The sequence below is a fragment of the Homo sapiens genome, chromosome 15 (genome assembly GCF_000001405.40).
Source record: "Homo sapiens chromosome 15, GRCh38.p14 Primary Assembly".
Lineage (NCBI taxonomy): Eukaryota > Metazoa > Chordata > Mammalia > Primates > Hominidae > Homo > Homo sapiens.
Genome location: NC_000015.10, coordinates 77,241,200 through 77,266,917, shown reverse-complemented (window position 1 = coordinate 77,266,917; position 25,718 = coordinate 77,241,200). Strand labels below are relative to the sequence as shown.

Here is a 25,718-nt window from a genome sequence, read left to right as displayed (position 1 = left end):
GCCTCCCCACTGAGAAAACAAGCTGACTCAGAGTTCCTTGGCTGTCCCACAGAGCCTACAGCAGCAATCCAGCTCCTTCAAAGGGTCTGTGGATTATCTCGGCTTTCCTGGTATGTTCTTGTGGTAGTTGTTGGAGCAGAAGTTCGTGATGTGGGTCTCTACATGCTGCTGTAACCATCCAACTGGGAGCTGAAGTTAGTCCTGCCTTCTATCTACCATTTTTCCTCCCTTGTAAAATAATTCTTATGTCTGTTATCTTGGTGTTGGTATCCATTGATTGTCTTTTCTCATTCAAGTTATGATTTTCCTGATTCTTGATATGGCAAATGGTTTTCAATCAAAACCTAGACATTTTGGACATTATGTCATGAGATTTTGCATTTCATTTAAGTCTTCTGTTTTGGCAGGTCTCTTTAAATAGTATCCTGGCAGGGGGAAAGGATGTTGCCTCATTACTGTCAGGTAGAGGAGTAAGTTCAGGGTCCTAATCATCCTCCAGTGACACTTGGCAGGAGGCGCCTGTTCTGGGCCGAGTTGGGAGTTTCAGCTTCGTACTAGGCCTCTGATGATACCCACTCTGTGGAGTAAATACCTAGGAGTAAAATTATTTGGTTCTTTGATTAGTTTTTAAATTTTATTGTATTTTATTTTTATTTTTTTTTATTATTATACTTTAACTTTTAGGGTACATGTGCACAATGTGCAGGTTAGTTACATATGTATACATGTGACATGCTGGTGCGCTGCACCCACTAACTTGTCATCTAGCGTTAGGTATATCTCCAAATGCTATCCCTCCCCCCTCTCCCCACCCCACAACAGTCCCCAGAGTGTGATGTTCCCCTTCCTGTGTCCATGTGTTCTCATTGTTCAGTTCCCACCTATGAGTGAGAATATGCGGTGTTTGGTTTTTCTTGTGATAGTTTACTGAGAATGATGATTTCCAATTTCATCCATGTCCCTACAAAGGACATGAACTCCTCATTTTTTATGGCTGCATAGTATTCCATGGTGTATACGTGCCACATTTTCTTAATCCAGTCTATCATTGTTGGACATTTGGGTTGGTTCCAAGTCTTTGCTATTGTGAATAGTGCCACAATAAACATACGTGTGCATGTGTCTTTATAGCAGCATGATTTATAGTCCTTTGGGTATATACCCAGTAATGGGATGGCTGGGTCAAATGGTATTTCTAGTTCTAGAGCCCTGAGGAATCGCCACACTGACTTCCACAATGGTTGAACTAGTTTACAGTCCCACCAACAGTGTAAAAGTGTTCCTATTTCTCCACATCCTCTCCAGCACCTGTTGTTTCCTGACTTTTTAATGATCGCCATTCTAACTGGTGTGAGATGGTATCTCATTGCAGTTTGGATTTGCATTTCTCTGATGGCCAGTGATGGTGAGCATTTTTTCATGTGTCTTTTGTCTGCATAAATGTCTTCTTTTGAGAAGTGTCTGTTCATGTCCTTCGCCCACTTTTTGATGGGGTTGTTTGTTTTTTTCTTGTAAATTTGTTTGAGTTCACTTTAGATTCTGGATATTAGCCCTTTGTCAGATGAGTAGGTTGCGAAAATTTTCTCCCATTTTGTGGGTTGTCTATTCACTTTGTTGGTAGTTTCTTTTGCTGTGCAGAAGCTCTTTAGTTTAATTAGATCCCATTTGTCAATTTTGGCTTTTGTTGCCATTGCTTTTGGTGTTTTAGACATGAAGTCCTTGCCCATGCCTATGTCCTGAATGGTAATGCCTGGGTTTTCTTCTAGGGTTTTTATGGTTTTAGGTCTAACGTTTAAGTCTTTAATCCATCTTGAATTGATTTTTGTGTAAGGTGTAAGGAAGGGATCCAGTTTCAGCTTTCTACATATGGCTAGACAGTTTTCCCAGCACCATTTATTAAATAGGGAATCCTTTCCCCATTGCTTGTTTTTCTCAGGTTTGTCAAAGATTAGATAGTTGCAGATATGCAGTGTTATTTCTGAGGGCTCTGTTCTGTTCCATTGATCTATATCTCTGTTTTGGTACCAGTACCATGCTGTTTTGGTTACTGTAGCCTTGTAGTATAGTTTGAAGTCAGGTAGTGTGATGCCTCCAGCTTTGTTCTTTTGGCTTAGGATTGACTTGGCGATGCGGGCTCTTTTTTGGTTTCATATGAACTTTAAAGTAGTTTTTTCCAATTCTGTGAAGAAAGTCATTGGTAGCTTGATGGGGATGGCATTGAATCTATAAATTACCTTGGGCAGTATGGCCATTTTCACGATATTGATTCTTCCTACCCATGAGCGTGGAATGTTCTTCCATTTGTTGGTATCCTCTTTTATTTCATTGAGCAGTGGTTTGTAGTTCTCCTTGAAGAGGTCCTTCACGTCCCTTGTAAATTGGATTCCTAGGTATTGTATTCTCTTTGAAGCAATTGTGAATGGGAGTTCACTCATGATTTGGCTCTCTGTTTGTCTGTTATTGGTGTATAAGAATGCTTGTGATTTTATACATTGATTTTGTATCCTGAGACTTTGCTGAAGTTGCTTATCAGCTTTAGGAGATTTTGGGCTGAGACAATGGGGTTTTCTAGATATACAATCATGTCATCTGCAAACAGGGACAATTTGACTTCCTCTTTTCCTAATTGAATACCCTTTATTTCCTTCTCCTGCCTGATTGCCCTGGCCAGAACTTCCAACACTATGTTGAATAGGAGTGGTGAGAGAGGGCATCCCTGTCTTGTGCCAGTTTTCAAAGGGAATGCTTCCAGTTTTTGCCCATTCAGTATGATGTTGGCTGTGGGTTTGTCACAGATAGCTCTTATTATTTTGAGATACGTCCCATCAATACCTAATTTATTGAGAGTTTTTAGCATGAAGGGTTGTTGAATTTTGTCAAAGGCCTTTTCTGCATCTATTGAGATAATCGTGGTTTTTGTCGTTGGTTCTGTTTATATGCTGGATTATGTTTATTGATTTGCGTATGTTGAACCAGCCTTGCATCCCAGGTTGAAGCCCACTTGATCATGGTAGATAAGCTTTTGGATGTGCTGCTGGATTCGGTTTGCTAGTATTTTATTGAGGATTTTTGCATCGATGTTCATCAGGGATATTGGTCTAAAATTCTTTTTTTTGTTGTTGTGTCTCTGCCAGGCTTTGGTATCAGGATGATGCTGGCCTCATAAAATGAGTTAGGGAGGATTCCCTCTTTTTCTATTGATTGGAATAGTTTCAGAAGGAATGGTACCAGCTCCTCCTTGTACCTTTAGTAGAATTCGGCTGTGAATCCATCTGGTCCTGGCCTTTTTTTGGTTAGTAAGCTATTAATTATTGCCTCAATTTCAGAGCCTGTTATTGGTCTATTCAGAGATTCAGCTTCTTCCTGGTTTAGTCTTGGGAGGGTGTAGGTGTCGAGGAATTTATCCATTTATTCTAGATTTTCTAGTTTATTTGTGTAGAGGTGTTTATAGTATTCTCTGATGGTAGTTTGTATTTCTGTGGGATCGGTGGTGATATCCCGTTTATCATTTTTTATTACGTCTATTTGATTCTTCTCTCTTTTCTTCTTTATTAGTCTAGCTAGCGGTCTATCAATTTTGTTGATCTTTTCAAAAAACCAGCTCCTGGATTCATTGATTTTTTTGAAGTGTTTTTTATGTGTCTATTTCCTTCAGTTCTGCTCTGATCTTAGTTATTTCTTGCCTTCTACTAGCTTTTGAATGTGTTTCCTCTTGCTTCTCTAGTTCTTTTAATTGTGATGTTATGGTGTCAATTTTAGATCTTTCTTGGTTTCTCTTGTGGGCATTTAGTGCTATAAATTTCCCTCTACGCACTGCTTTGAATGTGTCCCAGAGATTCTGGTATGTTGTGTCTTTGTTCTCATTGGTTTCAAAGAACATCTTTATTTCTGCCTTCATTTCATTATGTACCCAGTAGTCATTCAGGAGCAGGTTGTTCAGTTTCCATGTAGCTGAGTGGTTTTGAGTGAGTTTCTTAATCCTGAGTTCTAGTTTGATTGTACTGTGGCCTGAGAGACAGTTTGTTATAATTTCTGTTCTTTTACATTTGCTGAGGACTGCTTTACTTCCAACTATGTGGTCAATTTTGGAATAGGTGTGGTGTGGTGCTGAAAAAAATGTATATTCTGTTGATTTGGGGTGGAGAGTTCTGTAGATGTCTATTAGGTCTGCTTGGTGCAGAGCTGAGTTCAATTCCTGCGTATCCTTGTTAACTTTCTGTCTCGTTGGTCTGTCTAATGTTGTCTGTGGGGTGTTAAAGTGTCCCATTATTATTGTGTGGGAGTCTCTTTGTAGGTCTCTAAGGACTTGCTTTATGAATCTGGGTGCTCCTGTATTGGGTGCATATATATTTAGGATAGTTAGCTCTTCTTGTTCAATTGATCCCTTTACCATTATGTAATGGCCCTCTTTGTCTCTTTTGATCTTTATTGGTTTAAAGTCTGTTTTATCAGAGACTAGGATTGCAACCCCTGCCTTTTTTGTTTTCCATTTGCTTAGTAGATCTTCCTCCATCCCTTTATTTTGAGCCTACGTGTGTCTCTGCATGTGAGATGGGTTTCCTGAATACAGCACACTGATGGGTCTTGACTCTTTATCCAATTTGCCAGTCTGTGTCTTCTAATTGGAGCATTTAGCCCATTTACATTTAAAGTTAATATTGTTATGTGTGAATTTGATCCTGTCATTATGATGTTAGCTGGTTATTTTGCTCGTTAGTTGATGCAATTTCTTCCTAGCATCGATGGTCTTTACAGTTTGACATGTTTTTGCAGTGGCTGGAACTGGTTGTTCCTTTCCATGTTTAGTGCTTCCTTCAGGAGTTCTTTTAGGGCAGGCCTGGTAGTGACAAAATCTCTCAGCATTTGCTTGTCTGTAAAGTATTTTATTTCTCCTTCACTTATGAAGCTTAGTTTGGCTGGATATGAAATTGTGGGTTGAAAATTCTTTTCTTTAAGAATGTTGAATATTGGCCCCCACTCTCTTCTGGCTTGTAGAGTTTCTGCCAAGAGATCAGCTGTTAGTCTGATGGGCTTCCCTTTGTGGGTAACCCGACCTTTCTCTCTGGCTGCCCTTAACATTTTTTCCTTCATTTCAACTTTGGTGAATCTGACAATTATGTGTCTTAGAGTTGCTCTTCTGGAGGAGTATCTTTATGACGTTCTCTGTATTTCCCGAATCTGAATGTTGGCCTGCCTTGCTAGATTGGGGAAGTTCTCCTGGATAATATCCTGCAGAGTGTTTTCCAAGTTGGTTCCATTCTCCCCGTCACTTTCAGGTACACCAATCAGATATAGATTTGGTCTGTTCACATAGTCCTATATTTGTTGGAGGCTTTGTTCTTTTTTTTTATTCTTTTTTTCTAAACTCGCATTTCATTCATTTGATCTTCCATCACTGATACCCTTTCTTCCAGTTGATCGAATCGGCTGCTGAGGCTCGTGCATTCATCACATAGTTCTCGTGCCGTGGTTTTCAGCTCCATCAGCTCCTTTAAGGACTTCTCTGCATTGGTTATTCTAGTTAGCCATTCGTCTAATCTTGTTTCAAGGTTTTTAACTTCTTTGCCATGGGTTCGAACTTCCTCCTTTAGCTTGGAGTAGTTTGATCGTCTGAAGCCTTCTTCTCTCAACTCATCAAAGTCATTCTCCATCCGGCTTTGTTCCATTGCTGGTGAGGAGCTGCATTCCTTTGGAGGAGGAGAGGCGCTCTGATTTTTAGAATTTTCAGTGTTTCTGCTCTGTTTTTTCCCCATCTTTGTGGTTTTATCTACCTTTGGTCTTTGATGATGGTGACATACAGATGGGGTTTTGGTGTGGATGTCCTTTCTGTTTATTAGTTTTCCTTCTAACAGTCAGGACCCTCAGCTGCAGGTCTGTTGGAGTTTGCTGGGGGTCCTCTCCAGATGCTGTTTGCCTGGGTATCAGCAGCGGAGGCTGCACAACAGCAGATATTGGTGAACAGCAAATGTTGCTGCCTGATCATTCCTCTGGAAGGTTTGTCTCAGAGGAGTACCCGGCCATGTGAGGTGTCAGTCTGCCTCTACTGGGGGGTGCCTCCCAGTTAGGCTACTTGGGCGTCAGGGAGCCACTTGACGAGGCAGTCTGTCCGTTCTCAGATCTCAAGCTGCGTGCTGGGAGAACCACTACTCTCTTCAAAGCTCAGTTGGAAATGCAGAAATCATACATCTTCTGTGTCGCTCACGCTGGGAGCTGTAGACTAGAGCTGTTCCTATTCGGCCATCTTGGCTCCACCTTTTTTTCTTCTGTGTATGAACTACTGCTTATCTGTCTAGTGAAATATTCATTTGTCTCTATATATTTTATCTCTAGAAGTTATTTTTTGGTTCTTTTTGAAAATCCTCTATTTCTGTCACCATTATATTGCTTTTTTCATTTATGTCTTTGAATATAGAGCATAGTTATTACAGCCCTTTTAATGTCTTTGCCTGCCATTTCTATCATTTCTATCATTTCTGGGTTTCTTTCTATTGATTGATATTTTTCTGGTTATGGGCCACATTTCCCTGATTCTTACTGTGTTCAGTAATTTTTTTATTAAATGATAAATATTTATGAATTTAAATATTTGAGTCCTTAATCTTGTTTTATATCTTTAAAGAATGTTGGACTTCTTCCTGAAAAGCATTTTTGTTAAGTACAGATTAGTTTGTTCAGTTCTAGGCTTAAACATTCCTTTCAGGCATATCTAGAGTGGCCTTTATTCTAGGGCCCCTCACTCAGTGATTTGTCCCTTCTGGGGACCCTGCTGATTGCTTTGTATATTTGGGTTTCTCTCTTCTTGCGGAAGGGAGCTTGTTGAATTCTTGGTCCTATGTCAGCTCTGAGAATCTTTGTATTGCAACTATCTGGTAACATTTTTTCCTTAGATGTTTTTCTCTGGTCTCAAAAAAAATTTTACCCTTCTTAATGTAACGTTTTTATCTAGCTAAATGCTCAGGAGAACCCTTATTCAGATTACTTTAGCTGTCTCCCTCTTCTCTGGAATTCTGCTCCATAAATTCTAGCCTTCTTGGCCTCCTTGCACTTTTTTCTATCTCTCCAAGTAAACAAGATTGCCAGGCTCTGTGTAAATTCTTCCTCCCTCTACTGAAGTGGTAAATTTCTTTCTGGCTGAGAGCCTGAGTTGCTGGTAGGACTCCCCTTATTTCTGTTTTCTTAGGGATCATAATACTGCATTGCCTGTGTCTGAAAATAGTCCTTTCCAGTATTTTATGCTGTATTCTAATTGTTTATGGTGAGAGGATCATCCTGGAACTGTTTAATCCCTCATGGTCAGAAGCAGAAGTTGAATTATTGTAGAATAGGTTTTAAGGCTAACACCTTTGCAGAATTCAGAAGCTCCCAAGAAATTGTTTCCTAACACTTATCCATTGATGTACTTTTTCTCAGTATTGTTATAAATGAACTGTGTCTGCTATGGGAACTATTATTTATTTTTCAAATCAGAGAGCCCATTACAAACTTTAAATCAGAAACTGATCAGAAGAAAAGGATATATCATACTTAATAAATTTTATGAATCAGGAAAATTGATTTCTTGAGAATATAAAAATTGTCTCTATTATGAGATACTAATTTTAAATATAAAATTATTAACATTCATTAGAAATATGAAGGAATGGCATTACCAGAGTGTAAGGACTAAAATAAACCATTTGATCTAGTCATTTAAAATATGAATTCTAAAATTTTAGCAAATAGCCATCTTGAATGTAGTTTGTATTAGAAATTTGGTAAGTGTTATCTGTAAAGGGCCAAATAATGTATATTTTGGGCTTTGTAGGCATTTAGTTACTGTAACAACTACTTAACTCTACCTTTACGGTAAAAAATCAGCCATAGACTGGTTCAATATACGCAAATCAATAAATGTAATCCAGCATATAAACAGAACCAAAGACAAAAACCACATGATTATCTCAATAGATGGAGAAAAGGCCTTTGACAAAATTCAACAACCCTTCATGCTAAAAACTCTCAATAAATTAGGTATTGATGGGACGTATCTCAAAATAATAAGAGCTATCTATGACAAACCCACAGCCAACATCATACTGAATGGGCAAAAACTGGAAACATTCCCTTTGAAAACTGGCACAAGACAGGGATGCCCTCTCTCACCACTCCTATTCAACATAGTGTTGGAAGTTCTGGCCAGGGCAATCAGGCAGGAGAAGGAAATAAAGGGTATTCAATTAGGAAAAGAGGAAGTCAAATTGTCCCTGTTTGCAGATGACATGATTGTATATCTAGAAACCCCATTGTCTCAGCCCAAAATCTCCTAAAGCTGATAAGCAACTTCAGCAAAGTCTCAGGATACAAAATCAATGTACAAAATCACAAGCATTCTTATACACCAATAACAGACAAACAGAGAGCCAAATCATGAGTGAACTCCCATTCACAATTGCTTCAAAGAGAATACAATACCTAGGAATCCAACGTACAAGGGACGTGAAGGACCTCTTCAAGGAGAACTACAAACCACTGCTCAATGAAATAAAAGAGGATACCAACAAATGGAAGAACATTCCACGCTCATGGGTAGGAAGAATCAATATCATGAAAAAGGCCATACTGCCCAAGGTAATTTATAGATTCAATGCCATCCCCATCAAGCTACCAATGACTTTCTTCACAGAATTGGAAAAAACTACTTTAAAGTTCATATGAAACCAAAAAGAGCCCGCATTGCCAAGTCAATCCTAAGCCAAAAGAACAAAGCTGGAGGCATCACGCCACCTGACTTCAAACTATACTACAAGGCTACAGTAACCAAAACAGCATGGTACTGTTACCAAAATAGAGATATAGATCAATGGAACAGAACAGAGCCCTCAGAAATGACACCGCATGTCTACAACTATCTGATCTTTGACAAACCTGAGAAAAACAAGCAATGGGGAAAGGATTCCCTATTTAATAAATGGTGATGGGAAAACTGGCTAGCTATATGTAGAAAGCTGAAACTGGATCCCTTCCTTACACCTTATACAAAAATCAATTCAAGATGGATTAAAGACTTAAACGTTAGACCTGAAACCATAAAAACCCTAGAAGAAAACCTAGGCCTTACCATTCAGGACATAGGCACAGGCAAGGACTTCATGTCTAAAACACCAAAAGCAATGGCAACAAAAGCCAAAATTGACAAATGGGATCTAGTTAAACTAAAGAGCTTCTGCACAGCAAAAGAAACTACCATCAGAGTGAACAGGCAACCTACAAAATGGGAGAGAATTTTTGCAACCTACTCATCTGACAAAGGGCTAATATCCAGAATCTAAAGTGAACTCAAACAAATTTACAAGAAAAAAACAAACAACCCCATCAAAAAGTGGGCGAAGGACATGAACAGACACTTCTCAAAAGAAGACATTTATGCAGCCAAAAGACACATGAAAAAATGCTCATCATCACTGGCCATCAGAGAAATGCAAATCAAAACCACAATGAGATACCATCTCACACCAGTTAGAATGGCAATCATTAAAAAGTCAGGAAACAACAGGTGCTGGAGAGGATGTGGAGAAATAGGAACACTTTTACACTGTTGGTGGGACTGTAAACTAGTTCAACCATTGTGGAAGTCAGTGTGGCGATTCCTCAGGGCTCTAGAACTAGAAATACCATTTGACCCAGCCATCCCATTACTGGGTATATACCCAAAGGACTATAAATCATGCTGCTATAAAGACACATGCACACGTATGTTTATTGTGGCACTGTTCACAATAGTAAAGACTTGGAACCAACCCAAATGTCCATCAATGATAGACTGGATTAAGAAAATGTGACACGTATGCACCATGGAATACTATGCAGCCATAAAAAATGAGGAGTTCATGTCCTTTGTAGGGACATGGATGAAATTGGAAATCATCATTCTCAGTATACTATCGCAAGGACAAAAAACCAAACACCGCATGTTCTCACTCATAGGTGGGAATTGAAAAATGAGAACACATGGACACAGGAAGGGGAACATCACACTCTGGGGACTGTTGTGGGGTGGGGGGAGGTGGGAGGGATAGCATTAGGAGATATAGCTAATGCTAAATGACGAGTTAATGGGTGCAGCACACCAGCATGGCACATGTATACATATGTAAGTAACCTGCACATTGTGCACATGTACCCTGAAAATTAAAGTATAATAATAATAAAATTTAAAAAAAATTAGCCATAGACAATATATAAACAAATGAACTGGCTATGTTCTGATAAAATTTTATTTATGGACCATGACATTTGAATTTCATCTAGTTTTTATGTCTCAAAATATTCTCCTTTTGATTTTTTTCAACTCTTTAAAAATGTAAAAACTATTTTTACCTAGCAAACCATATATAAGCAGGTGGCAGGTTGTATTTGACCTATGGGTAAAGGCTTGACAACCCTTACTTTATGATTAAAAATCTCCTCAGTAAGCTATCAGATTCCTAGTAGACCATTGTATTTCCATTCTATATGATTTTTTTTTTTTTACCTGAAACTATTCGCTACTATTAAGTTAAATAGCAGAGTAAATAAGATCACACCAATTTTAGCCTGTAGGGCTTTGAAAGATTATATAGTGTCAAAGGTTTGAAATCATTTATAGTGTCTGAGTTTCTTCAGCCAGTTGGGGAGTTGAGGCTAGTGTCTAATTTATCTTACTACCAAGCCTGCACATTTTATATTTTTCAGTCATGCAAGGCTAATTCCTTCCTCCCTATTTTTGTTTTATTATGCTTATCTTATTAATGTTCCCAAATTAGTACATAGTTCTTTATCCTGAATTTAGTCATTTTTGGATGAAGTTGTCTGGGTACTCATGAACAGAAAGTCCCTTCACCTTATATTTAACTTCATGCTATCCCCACCTACAAGATCTTGGATTTTTTTCCTCTTAGTTCACAATCTTGAGACAATAGCTTCTTTTCTGCATTACCTGTGTCTATAATGTCTTTCACATGACCCTATTACCCAGTTACAACACAAAATACATTTCAAAGCATATTTTCTTTATTCTACCTGATGTGCCTTAGCATACTGGTCAGTCCCCTGTTAGAATGCTCAGAATTTGTTATCTAATATCTATCTGAAGCAGGATTGAAATATATGCCCTACTATTTTGTTTGGTGCTATATCCATAACATTAATTCAGTCCCTAGTTTAGAAGAATTATTATGCATTTCATGGTTTATAACCATAAGTGTATTTTCTTTCCTTCCTCCTTAAGGTGTATAGTTGATGTTGTTCTTTACCAGTAGCCAAAATCCAGTACTATGAATGTTCTGGAAGAAAGGGCTTAGGTTTAATTTAGGTGAGTGCTGCTATTGCATCATAAATGGTTGGTGACATAGTTGCATATGGCCGCATATTTTGGGAATATTTTTCTTGTTTGCATGTCTTCATGATGTTTTCCCAAAACGTTGTAACATTGTCAAGAAATAAAACAGAAAGGTAACTTCTTTCTTTTCTAATGCAGGGAGAGAAGAACTTTTGTTTTCAAATATGAAATAAAAATAAGGATTGGTACCGGCAGAAGCTTGGAATAAATGGAGAGTCAGAACCCAAACAGAATTTCCATTGTTAGTAAAATAAGTTAACAATTTTAAATAATTGTTATTTCATTGTTGTTATTACACAGGAATAAATAATTAATAGGTTTAAAATCAGGCCAATTTTTAAATTTTGGGCATGGTACTGGTATGATATTCAAGATATCTTCTCACAAATTGTTAATTCGTTGTTTTGATAATTTAGAAACATTTTTTCTAGGAGCATTAGGTACTCCTTCCTATCTTAATACATGTGTGCCCTATATCTGGAAAATTCTACTCCTAAATCTTTACATGTCTGGCTCATTTTATTCAATTTCAACTTGGCATCATCTCCTCAGAGAGTTTTAGTTTATATGCTATCTAAAACAGCATCTTCACCTTCCCATTCTCTTTGTAACAGTCAATTTTATTTTTTTCAGAGCATTGAAGATCTCTGAAATCAGTTTATTATTTGTCCATGTTTCTGTACTAGAAGGTAAACGTAAACTCTGTGAGAGCAGAGATCTTGCATTTTTATTGTTTCTCTACTACTTAGAACACTGCCTTTCACACAGTAGTTCTTAAGTATATAATTCATATGTGGTTGACTAGAAGGATGCATAAATAAAAGTATGTCAGCGGGCATGGTGGCTCACACCTGTAATTCTAGTACTTTGAAAGGCTGTGGTGGGAAGATAGCTTGAGCCCAGGAGTTCAGGACTAGCCTAGGCAATGTAGTGAGACCCAGTTTCTACAAAAAATGTAAAAATTAGCAGAGCATGGTGGCGTGTGACTGTAGTCTCAGCTACTCAAGAGGCTGAGGCAGGAGGATTGCTTGAGCCTAGGAGGTCAAGGATGCAGTGAGCCGTGATCATGCCACTGTACTCCAGCCTGGATGACAGAGTGAGACCCTGCCTTTTAAACAAACAAACAAAATAATAAATACTCATTGCTGCTTACTTGGTTAGAAAATAAAAAATAAGAATAAAGAGAAAAAATTTTTATAAAAGAACATATCCTGAATGACCTGTGAAATAATAAGCAGTCAAACTTATGTATATTGGAATCCCCAAGAGGAAGGGAGAATATGGGATAGAACAATTTTTTTTTAAGAAATAAGTGCTAAAAATTTCCCATATTGGGCAAAAACATAACTCACAGAATGAAGGTCAGTAAACTCCAAGTAGAATAAATGCAAAGAAAATCAAATCTAGACATATAATAGTCGCACTACTAAAGTCCAAAGATAGGCCAGGCGCAGTGGCTCACACCTGTAATTCTAGCACTTTGGGAGGCCAAGGCAGGTGGATCACCTGAGGTCAGGAGTTTGGGACCAGCCTGGCCAACATGGTGAAATGCTGTCTCTACTAAAAATACAAAAATTAGCCAAGTTATGGTGGCAGGCACCTGTAATCGCAGCTACTCAGGAGGCTGAGGCAGGAGAATCGCTTCAACCCAGAGGGTGGATGTTGCAGTGAGCCAATATCGTGGCACTTGAGCCTGGGCAAAAGAGCAAAACTCTATCTCAAAAAAATAGAAATAAAGTTCAAAGATAAAGAGAAAATCTTCAAAATAGCCAGAAAACAAAAGAAGCATTAAATACAGGATAGCAATAATATTACTGACAGCTGACTTATCAGAAAAATCGAAGACAAAAAATTATGGAATGACATTAGTAAAAAGTTGTAAGGATGAAGAAAAAACAAAACCTTTAGGTCACAATGCAATATCCAATGAAAATATCATTCAAAAATGAAGGTAAAGTAAGACAATTTCACATTTTAAAAACTTAGATATTTATTGTTAATAGACATACAATATAAGAACTACTAAGAGTTTCTAAGCTGAAAGGCAGTGATATCAGATGGAAACTCAGTTCTACAGGAAGAAATGAATACCACCAAGGTGATAAATACAAATGGCTTTTTGTTTTTCCTCTGTCACTTTCTTTAAAAGAAAGCTGACTTTTTAAAACAAAAGTTGAATGGTATCATTATGAGGTTTTGTAATATATGTAGAGGTATAATATATGATCACACTAGCAAAAGAATATTATAATAAATGGAATTACAGTCATCCTTGATGTGTCCTCAGGAGATTGGCTCCAGGACCACCCCCCCCCCAACGCATACCAAAATTCACAGATGCTCAGGTTCTTTATATAAAATGTAGTGTTTGCATATAATCTATATACATCCTCTTGTATATAGTATACAATAACTCAGTTATTTTTCTTGTGTTTGGTGTTACAGTGAAACAAATTAGGGGTTGGGTCAGTTTTGAACATGTATAAGATAGATGCTCAAGAATCAGAAATAGGTAGACATGTATTTAATTTTGGGTGATATTTTTAAAAACGAAATTAAAAATCATACTTGAGCCTAAACTAAAACTGCAAAGTGGCTAGTGAAATATTTACATTTGGAGATACCTGCTTTCAATATTTTAGAGAGGTCTTTATACTGAAGTTGGACATTGTGGCCCTTAGAATCATATTTTTATAAAGTTCGAGTTTAATGACTTGTCATTGAGTTAGTATTCATATACTTCCAGTAGAATAAGTCTCTACAAAAACAATCAAATGAAGACTTAGAAAATCTCAAGTGCATCGGTGCTCTTTCGGTTCTTGTAAGTTACTGGTTCTTTGGTATGCCATGGGGAGGTCTTGAGTGTGTGAGGTTCTATGCGTGTCTCCACCTAAGTAGAAAAGATATTCCTTAAATGAATTAGATGAATTATAACTGTTGAGTGAGGGTGATATTAGGAATATCTAAGAAAAGATGTCCAATATATTTGAAATTATATTACTCTCCAGTTTTGCTCTATTTTTTTTCTCTTGCAGTAAACATTGCTATCTTCAGAAATTAAGGAATGAGAGGCAAGGAAGAAAGGACATTCATCTTGGAAAGACCCAAAGCACCTTGAAATTTGGAAGGAATGTTTTGCTAGCTGCTAAAACCACCTTTGTCACCAGAATGAATGAAGTGCTTCAGATTTAAATAGTAAGCAGAATTCTCCTAACATGTTACATTTCCACCAAGAATTTTAGATGACTGGAAAGAATTTCTTTTTAAGTTTAAATGTTTAACTTAAATGCCAAACTATAGATAAAGCTGAACATTTTATAACTTATTTAGCATAACCAGGCTTTGGTCCTTAATGTTTGCTCAAAAGAATTTTTTCCCCTAGTTATAAACTTAATTTAGAAATGTAAGATTATTTGAGAAAGAATATGGAAAATACTAGTATATTTATAAGTCCATCTGATGCAGGGCAGGTGAGCCCTAAAGCAGAGCTTAGCCCATGAGGGATCTTGGCTTTGCGAAGGCAAGAATTAAAGGGCAAGCCAGAGGTAGAAGAAAACAGCTTTACTGAACAGGCAGTGTTACAGCTCCAGTGGTATCACAGCTCTTTGACTGCTCCTGCAGAGCAGGGGTACTTTGTAGGCAGACAGTAGCAGCTCAGGACAGTTTTGCAGTCATATTTATACCTTCCTTTAACTGCATGCAGATTAAGGGATGATTTATGCAGAAATTTCTAGGGAAAGGGTAGTAATCACTGAGTCATTACCATGGAAAGAGGCGGTAACTTCTGGGTGTTGCCATGGCAACAGTACATTCACATGGCATGATTGAAGGCTGCTGTCCCCCCTGACATCCCCATTTTAGCTAGTCCTGTATCTGGTCCAGTGTCTGAGCCCCACCTCTGGAGTAAAGTCCCGCCTCCTACCTCACATCCTTCAACAATTATTTTTTCGTTTCATAGAAATAATCAAGCAACATAGGTAGTAGTTCCTATTCAGTATGCAAAGGATTTTTTGGTGTTATTTTTTGAACTTTATTTCTTGTTTTATTTTCCTTACTTGACATCTAGTTTCTAGAGATCTTATTTTAATATAATCTTTATTTACTCTTTTGCCTTTCTTTCTTTCTACCTTTTGAAAATCATTTCGAAAGAATTGGGAGTTATAAAATGGACAAGAATCCAAAATAGTAAAGGAGAGGGAAATTTTGAAGGATTATAAGATTTTTTCTTCTTGTGAAATTGAAAATACTATTTGATTTCAAGTAGTGTAGAAAGCAATTATATGAAGGCTTAAGATCCTTTATCATTCTTAAATCCTCTTAGTCCTAGACCAGAATTATTTCAATGCATGTTTTGTAAAGATTCAAATATTTCCAATTTTTTACTTGAAATCCTAGTGAACAATTATAACTCTTAATCATTGGATTTCTACTAATTTGATTTTGAGAGATAATCATTTGCTTGAGTCACTATGTCTTGATAGTGAATGGGTATGATGGACCGAAACTAGTTTCTTGCTTTGAAATGCAGGAGATATGAAAAGTCAATCAAATAGCATCATGTTCTAGTTCTAATAATTCTAAGGAATGCAGAACCTGTTTCATGTTGGTAAATATGAGACAGGAGAAATTATATACCAAAGAATGAATGTTCTAATTATTCTTCCCTGTACTAACATTAACCTTGATTAAAAATATCTTGGATGGGGCACGGTGGCCTGTAATCCCAGCACTTTGGGAGGCCAAGGCAGGCGGATCACTTGAGGTCAGGAGTTCAAGACCAGCCTGACCAACATGGTGAAACCCCATCTCTATTAAAAATATAAAAATTAGGCCAGGTGCAGTGGCATACGCCTGTAATCCCAGCACTTTGGGAGGCTGAGGCAGGCAGATCACAAGGTCAGGAGATGGAGACCATCCTGGCTAACATGGTGAAACCCTATCTCTGCTAAAAATAAAAAAAAATTAGCCTGGTATGGTGGCAGGCACCTGTAGTCCCAGCTACTCGGGAGGCTGAGGCAGGAGAGTGGCGTGAACCCAGAAGGTGGAGCTTACAGTGAGCTGAGATTGCGCCACTGCACTCCAGTCTGGGCAGCAGAGCGAGACTCCATCTCAAAAAACAAAAAACAAACAAACAAAAAAACACAAAAATTAGCCGGGTGTGGTGGCGCATGCCTGTAATCCCAGCTACTCAGGAGGCTGAGGCAGGAGAATTGCTTGAACCCAGGAAGCAGAGGTTACAGTGAGCCAAGATCATGCCACTGCACTCCAGCCTGGGTGACGGAGTGAAACTCTGTCAAAAAAAAATATATATATATATATATACATATACATATATATGTGTATATATATACATATATATGTATATATATGTATATATATACATATACATATATATGTATATATATGTATATATATATCTTAACAGTGATTTCTTTAAAAAAAAATCTCTAATTGTGGGTTAAACCTCTACTTGTGGCATTATTGGAGCTTTTTTGTGCCCTTGTCACTGGTAGACATGTGGCCACATTCACCCTTCTAAAATATCCAGTAAATTCTTTCTGGTTCTCAACTATTTAAAAAAAATTTTTTTTGTTGAAGAAAGGAACTTTTAAAACACTGCAGAAATTAAAGTGTTAAGTGTTAACTTATGCAGGTGAGATAATACATAGAAAGTGATCAGATTTCCCTGTCTCTCTGTTATTGATTTAAGTGTACCTATTTAATTATATCTGTTTCAGGGCCAGGCGTAGTGGCTCACACCTGTAATTCCAGCACTTTGGGAGGCCGAGGTGGGTGGATCACCTGAGGTCAGGAGTTCAAGACCAGTTTGTTTTCAAGATTATAATATTATCAAGAAACAGATTTGATAAGAACTTCATCTCTCTATACTGTAAAATAACTGCACTGATTCTCCCACCTAGCCCAGTTCAGAAATCATATAACACATCCATGAGGTACATAGCAGACCATCTACATTTACATATTTTTCTGGCCCCATCCAAGCTGGTTGTGTCCAAAATTTATAATCTACCGTGACTTTGAAGAGAGAATAGAATCAGATTTCTAATTGTGCAATTCACAGAATTTCTAATTTGCACAACTAGAAATTTAGATTTTTAATGGTGTGAACTATCATGGCCACTAAAGAAGCTAAAATTTAAAGAGTAACATTCTAGCTATGTAATGCTAAGATTGAGTCAAATAGTTTTATCTAAGTTTATTTCATTAGCTGAAAATTATGGCCTTTGTGGGTAGGGGAGTATATTCTTACAGACAAAGAATAATTTGATATCTGTCTCTGTCTACAATCTTAAACTCATAACACTTGATAGGTCTTTAAAGCATTATTTACAATGCCTTCATTTAGGAAAACTTTCCTTTTATAGGGAAGCCTATGTGCAATTTGTCCAGAAAAAAAAAAAATTTCAATAGTAGTAATAGGCCAGGCACCATGGCTCACGCCTGTAACCCAACACTTTGGGAGGCCGAGGCAGGAGGATCACCTGAGGTCAGGAGTTTGAGACCAGCCTAGTCAACATGGTGAAACCCCGAATCTACCAAAAAAAATACAAAACTTAGCCGAAAGTGGTGGTGCACATCTGCACAGTGACTCGGGAAGCTGAGGCACAAGAATCACTTGAACCAGGAGGCAGAGGCTGCGGTGAGCCGAGATGGCACCACTGCACTCCATCCTGGGTGACAGAGTGAGACTCCATCTCAAAAATAACTTAACATTAAAATAAAATAAAATAAAATAAAATATAGTAGTAATAATGTGTACTGAGTGCTTACTATATATGAAACATTGAGATTCACTTTTAATATTCTTAGTCCATTGGGCCTAAACTGGGTGGCTTGAAAACAACAGAAATTTATTTCTCATGGTTCTGAAGGCTGGGGAGTCCCAAAGTACCAGCATATTTAGTATCTGGTGAGTGCATCTGCTTTCTGGTTCATAGATGGTGTCTTTTCACTGTGTCCTCACATGGCAGAAGGGGCAAGTGAGCTCTCTGGAGTCTCCTTTATAAGGATTCTTACTAGTCCCATGCATGAGGTCTCTGTCCTCAGGATATAATCACCTGCCAAAGGCTCCACCTCAAAATGACAACACATTGGGGATTAGGTTTCAGCATAAGAATTTTGAGGAGGACACAAATATTCATTCAACGGAATACGGATTATCTTTAAACCTTACAAATCTGTTTGACATAGCTCTTGTTATTAATATTTCCATTTTATATATGAGGATATCATTCTCAAAGTTAATTGTCCAGTATCAAATGACTATTTAGTGGTACAGCTAAGCTTGTCTGACTCCACAACCTCATCTCAACTACCAAAGCTCACTTGAGAAAATAATAGATTGGCCAGGTGCAGTGGTTCACACCTGTAATCCCAGCACTATGAGAAGCCAAAGTGAGAGGATCACTTGAGGCCAAGAGTTTGAGACCAGCCTGGGCAGCATAGCAAGGACCCCATCTCTACCAAAAAAAAACAAAATTAATACTACCAAGGAAATATTTAATAATATCAGTTCTGCACAAATTATGCCAGGAAATAAAAGAAGATTTAACACTTCCCAACTCATTTTATAAAATTAGTAGTATTGTGATATCAAAACAAGTCAAATAGATTACAAGAAAGAAAACTACAGGCATAGACAAAAAAATCTTCAAGAAAATATTGGCAAATCAAAACCAGCAATATGTAAAAAGGATAATGCATTATGAAAGTAGGTTTTATCCCAAAAATTCAAGGTTGTTTTAATCTTCAGAATGAATCAATGCAATTCACCATATCAATAAATTAAATGAATGGGAGGCTAAGACAGGCAGATCACTTCAGGTTAGGAGTTTGAGACAGACCAGCCTGGCCAAAGTGGTGAAATCCTGTCTCTACTGAAAAAACAAATAAAAAAATTAGCCAGGTGCGGTGGCACACACCTGTAATCCCAGCTACTCTGGGGCATGTTGAGGCCCAAGAATCTCTCGAACCCAGGAGGTGGAGGTTGTGCCATTGCACTCCAGCCTGGGCGACAGAGTGAGACTCTGTCTCAAAAAAAAAAAAAAAAAAAAAGAAAAGAAAAGAAAAAAGAGAAAAAAAAAATTAAAAACCCCATATGACCCATATAATTACTCAGTGGTTAGATACTGCATTAATTCATAATAAATAATCTCAGCAAACTAGGAATTGAAGGAATTTCCTCAGCCTAGTAAAGGGCAAAGATAACTATCATAGAGCTGATGTAACACTTAATGGTGAAAAAGTGAATGCTTTCTTCCTAAAATTGAGAACAAGACAAGGTAGTCATAGCAAGTTCAGTTAAGCAAAAAAAGAAAAATGAAAGAAATCAAAGGAATGCAGATTGAAGAGGAAGAAGTAAGCTCTCAGTATTTGCAAATGAAATCATTTTCTATGCACAAAATCCCAGAGAATCTACCAAAAAGTGTACTAGAACTAATGATAAGTGGTGAATTAGTAAAGTCACAGGATTCAAAATAATTATATAAAAATCTATCATATTTCTATACACTATATTTTTTTGAGACGGAGTCTCACACTGTCACCCAGGCTGGAGTTCACTGGCACGATCTCGGCTCACTGCAACCTCTGCCTCCCAAGTTCAAACGATTCTCGAACCTCAGCCTCTTGAGTAGCTAGGATTGCAGGCACCCACCACCATGCTTAGCTAATTTTTTTTATTTTTAGTATAGACAGGCTTCACTATGTTGGCCAGACTGGTCTTGAACTCCTGACCTCGTGATCCGCCCACCTCGGCCTCCCAAAGTGCTGGGATTGCAGGCGTGAGCCACCATGCCTGGTCCTTCTATACACAATTAATAATTGGACATTGAAATTATAAAATTTACAATAGCATTTATAATAGCACCATGAAACACAAAAACATAGGTGTAAATTTTTTTAAATGTGCAACATCTGTGCTGATAATCTACAAAGCACTCATGAAAATAATCAAAGAAAATCCCAGTAAAGAGATATTGTGCTCAACTATTGGAAGAGTCAATATTGGAGTTGTTTTTTGGTTTGTGACAAAGTCTTACTCCGCCACCCAGGCTGGAGGTCCAGACCGCTCACTGTAGCCTCAACCTCCTGGGCTCAAGTGATCCTCCTACCTCAGCGTCCTGAGTAGCTGGGATTACAGGCATGAGCCACCATGCTTAGTCAATATTAAGATGTCAGCTCTCTCAAATTGTTCTATAGATTGAATAAAATCCCTATCAAAAGTCCAGCAGGGGCCAGGCACAGTGGCTCACGCCTGTAATCCCAGCACTTTGGGAGGCCGAGGCAGGCGGATCATGAGGTCAAGAGATCAAGACCATTCTGGCCAACATAATGAAACCTTGTCTCTACTAAAAATACAAAAATTAGCTGGGAATGGTGGCACGCGCCTGTAGTCCCAGCTACTCGAGAGGCTGAGGCAGGATAATTGCTTGAACCCTGGAGGCGGAGGTTGCAGTGAGCCGAGATCACACCACTGCACTCCAGCCTGGCGACAGAGTGAGACTCTTTCTCAAAAAAAAAAAAAAGTCTAGCAGGTATTTTTTTATAGGAGTCGACAGGCTGATTCTAAAATTTTTTTGGAAAGGTAAAGGAACTAGAAAGCCAAAAACAATTCTGAATAGAAACAAAGTGGGACGACTCACACTACCTGATTCAAGACTTACTAATCAAACTGCAGTACTTGAGCAGTATATTGTCGTTAAAAGGGTAAATAGATCTGTAAAACAGAATAAATAGTCCAGAAATAGATACACACATATGTTCAATTGATTTTTAACAAAGATGCAGAGGTAATCTATGAAAAAAGATGAGTTTTTTCTTTTTACTTTTTTTTTTGAGACGGAGTCTCACTCGGTTTCCCAGGCCAGGCTGGAGTGCAGTGGTAAAATCTTGGCTCACTGCAGCCTCTGCCTCCTGGGTTCAAGTGATTCTCTTGCCTCAGCCTCCCAAGTAGCTGGGACTACAGGTGTGTGCCACCACGCCCGGCTAATTTTTGTATTTTTAGTAGAGACAGGGTTTCATCATGTTGGCCAGGATAGTCTTGAACTCCTGACCTCAGGCAATCCGCCTGCCTTGGCCTCCCAAAGTGCTCAGATTACAGGCACCATGCCTGGCCAAAAAGATTAGTTTTTTCAAGAAATGGTACAAGAAGAGTTAGACATCCTTTTTTTTTTTTCAATTATTTGAGACAGAGTCTTGCTCTGTTGCCTAGGCTAGAGTATAGTGGCATGATCATGGCTCACTGCAACCTTGACTTCTTGGGCTCAGGTGATCCTCCCACCTCAGCCTCCAAAGTAGCTGGGATGGCAGGCATGTGCCACCATGCCCAGGTAATAGGCATCCATTTAAGACCGAAAACAAAAACATACGAAAGATACTTGGCCTATACCTTGACGTAGGCCTTGGAAATAAATGAAAAAGAGTAGATTATTAAGAGATTCACTTTGTAGAAGTAGGGGAAGAAATAAGACTGTGAAGAGAATTGAAACATTGAAGTGGTAGGGGGAATTATTGGAACAGTTCAGTGTTTTGACTGAGAGGCATTATGTATTGTAGAAAATGTGTATACATTATGAATAAATATTCTTTTATTCCACTAGCTTATTCAGCACCTTACAATTCACATAACATTTTGTTAGATTGGGAGGGTGTTATAAAGGTCCTTTGAGGCCAAGTATGGTGGCTCACACCTGAGGCTGAGGCAGGTGGATCACTTGAGGTCAGGAGTTTTGAGACCAGCCTGCCCAATGTGGTGAAACCCCATCTCTACTAAAAATACAAAAATTAGCTGGGCATGGTGGTGCATGCCTTTAGTTCCAGCTACTTGGGAGGCTGAGGCATGAGAATTGCTTGGACCCAGGAGGTGGAGGCTGCAGCGAGCCGAGATTGTGCCACTGCAGTCCAGCCTGGGTGACAGAGCAAGAGTCTGTCTCAAAAAAAAAAAGAAAAAGAAAAGTCCCTTGAGGAAATCATATATAAGTAATAACAAAACACTGATAAATGCTATTATAGTTGGACCAGGAGAGCCCAGAGGAGAGGGCAGTAAATACCTATATTCATCCCTATTGGCTTCCCTAGCTAGCCCAATGAGCTCCAAGTGCAGAAGGGAAGTAAAGGCTGGAGTATTCTGAGCACTGAAAAATGTTAATAGATCCACTGTCCCTTTGAGGACTTTGAGAAATTGTTGTTAATTTGATAGCTAAACTCCAATATGGGATCTCTTCCATCTGCTGCCACTGAAATCTGTGATAATTACCTCAGTCTCAAATAATAGATAAAGTGAAACAACCTGATGTGGTTTCCTTTTATCCTCCTTTTGCTGTCATTTGATCTACTTAAAGTGGGCTAGTCTTTCTCTTGCCTGTAGTTGCTAGCCATTCTATACAGTCTCTATCACACAGCAAAGGTATTTTTTTTAAGACTACCAAACTCTGTAGGAATGAAAGATAATTTTTTTCATAAAGGAGTCTTCATCATATTCCACAGATGTGGAAAAGAGAAGTAGGAGTTGAATGTGATCACTTTTGCCAACCATCTGTGGGTTTCTTTTTCTTTTTTTTTTTTTTATTTTGAGAAAGAGTTTCACTTCTGTTGCCCAGGCTGGAGCGCAATGGCGCGATCTCAGCTCACCGCAACCTCCCCCTCTCAAGTTCAAGAGATTCTCCTGCCTCAGCCTCCCGAGTAGCAGGGATTACAGACATGTGCCACCACTCCCGGCTAATTTTGTATTTTTAATAGAGATGAGTTTCTGCATGTTGGTCAGGCTGGTCTAGTACTCCCGACCCCAGGTGATCTGCCCACCTCAGCCTCCCAAAGTGCTGGGATTACAGGCGTAAGCCACCACACCTGGCCCATCTGTGGGTTTCTAATACACATTCTCATCCCTCTTTGAAGGATTATTCATTGTAGCTTGTAGTCACACTTTCCTTAAAGCAAGAACTACTTTTATTTTCCCTCGGCCTTCTATCACATAGCAAGAGCGTTGGTGGAAATTGTTTTTCCATAAAAATAACTGTGCCACCTACTGTTCAAATCCTACTGATTAAGAAAATCATTGATCGATTTTTCCTGGGAAATAAATTAGGCTTTTTCCTGAAAGTGGAAAGAAATAAATAATCGGATGTAAAGAATGAAGATGGCTGTGTTTTATGAGGAAAATGTTTATGCAGTTGCCATGGAAACAACATGTAGGCATTCAAAACAGGAGCTTATGATATCTCTGTATTTGTCAAATATAAATCAGATATGAGTTGCATTCATTCTTGTTCTTGGCTCAAATTTAGTCTGACACATATGGTTATGTAAAATATGCTCCTGCTTTAGTATATTTGCTTAATATTTGCAAGAATCTAGCAATACACTGGCTGCCATGTTTTAAAATCATATACTGGAAGCACAGAAATAAACTAGGGAAAGCATTTCTCAGCAAATAATTCCTGAAAGATAGCAGCACAATCCCATTGTGACTTTCATAATTAACAGGGGTAATTAATTTTTCTTAATTGAAACATATTCACAATGTTGGGCCTAGTTAATTGGTACAGGCTAATTGTGAGTGATGTCAAATGCTGAATATGCATAGTTTGATAGTTTCTTATTTAATATATGTGATTTCATTTCATAAGTAGAGTAAGGCACAATAGGCAGTGTTTCTGAATGATTGTTATACTTTCCTGTTGGAAGACATCAGTTGACTTCAATTTCATGTGTTATAAGTGAGGCATGATAGAATTCTAGAGAAAGCATACATGGATTTTGAGGATATGGAGAATTTGACAAAATTTTCCATAGCTTGAACTTTTTTCAGTAACTGATTCCAAGGATAAGACAGAAAATGCAAACCATACCTGCAACTACTGCCTTTTAATGGGCACACAAACTAAAAATAGGAAAATCTAAAAACAATTAGAATAGACCCCTTTTGTGGAAAAAAAAGTGATACCCTCTTAACTCTAATACTTTATCCTTTCATGCCACCTTTGTTAGCGATTTCATAGCGCATCAGTTTATCATCCTGTGTATTTTCTCCTGTTACATTTCCTCAAAGACATGCACTTTGAGCAGATAGCCTAGAGGCTTAATGTCTTATTAAAGCAGTAATTGTTTAAATAGTGCAATAAATGATACAGTAATTTAATGAGACCAAATAGAGATTGGTGGGAAAAGGCTAATTGGAGAAGGCTTTTCAGAGGAGTTAAGTTTTAAGTCAAAATTTAAAAGGTGAAAGACCTTTCTAGAGGGCATTTTAACAACATGTATTATCAAAACTTTAAAATATATATGTACACACACATGCATAAATATATATGTATTTATGTGCATACTGTTTGATCCAAAAAATGTACTTCTAACAATTTACCTTAAGGAAATAAAGATGTGTGCAAATACTGAATTAGGAGAATATTTACTAAACCCTGTTTATAATAGAGAAATATGGAACATACTGTAAATACTAGAATTCAACATCAAGTACAAAAGAATGGTTAATTAATGTTAGGATAAATCCAGAAATTGAGTGTATAGCTATTTGAAATATTATAGAAAAATATTGATGTGGAAAAATATTTGTTATATATTATTCAGTGAAAAAAAGCGGGAGTTTGATTGGAATTGTATTAAATCTACGGATTAGTTTGAAGAAAATTGACATCTTTACTATGTTGGGTCTTCCAGTTGATGAACATAGTCTATCTCTCCATTTATTTTGGTCTTTGATTTCTTTTATTAGCATTTTATGGTTCTCAGCATACCCCTCCTATACTTGGCTTTCTTAGATTTATACCCAAGGATTTATTTAAATTTTTTTTTTATTTGGAGCTGATCTGAAAGTTATTTTTTTTTAATTTTGGTTTCTATTAGTACATTGCTTGTATATAGAAATACAATTGATTTTTCTATGTTGACCATGTATCCTGCAATCTTAAAATACGTATTAATTCTAAGAAGTTTTTTGTAGATTCCTTGGGATTTTTCACATACATAGTCATGTCATATGCAAATAGGTACAGTTTTATTTTTTCCTTTCCAATATATATGCCTTTTACTTCTTTTTCTTGTCTATTGCACTAAAACTTTCAGGATACGTGGAACAGGAATGATGGTAGTATAGGCATTCTTGTCTTGCACCCTTTTCAGGAGGAAGCAGTCAGTCTCACTATTAAATACGATATTAGCTGTAGTTTTTTTGTAGGTGCCCTTTAATTATGTTGAAGTTCCCTTCTATTTCCAGTTTGCTGAGAGTTTTCATTATGAATGGCTGTTGGATTTTGTCAGATTTTCCGTATCAATTGATATGATCATATGGATTTTATTTTTTGAGCTGTTAATATAGTAGTTTACA

At 37.7% G+C, this 25,718-nt stretch overlaps 1 protein-coding gene across 34 annotated transcripts in view; it reads left to right on the top strand.

Annotated features, from left to right (window-relative positions):
• Nucleotides 1–25,718, top strand: part of PEAK1 (pseudopodium enriched atypical kinase 1) — a 320,261-nt gene that overhangs the window by 153,997 nt on the left and 140,546 nt on the right. For 26 of the 34 annotated variants that reach the window (XM_047433077.1, XM_047433076.1, XM_047433057.1 and 23 more), the window contains 3 exons: nt 11,495–11,597; nt 11,990–12,045; nt 14,392–14,551. The gene's annotated coding sequence lies outside the window, so the exon portion shown is untranslated. The remainder of the gene's footprint in view (nt 1–11,494; nt 11,598–11,989; nt 12,046–14,391; nt 14,552–25,718) is intronic. The other 8 variants (NM_024776.5, XM_047433065.1, XM_047433063.1 and 5 more) reach the window with 2 other exon arrangements.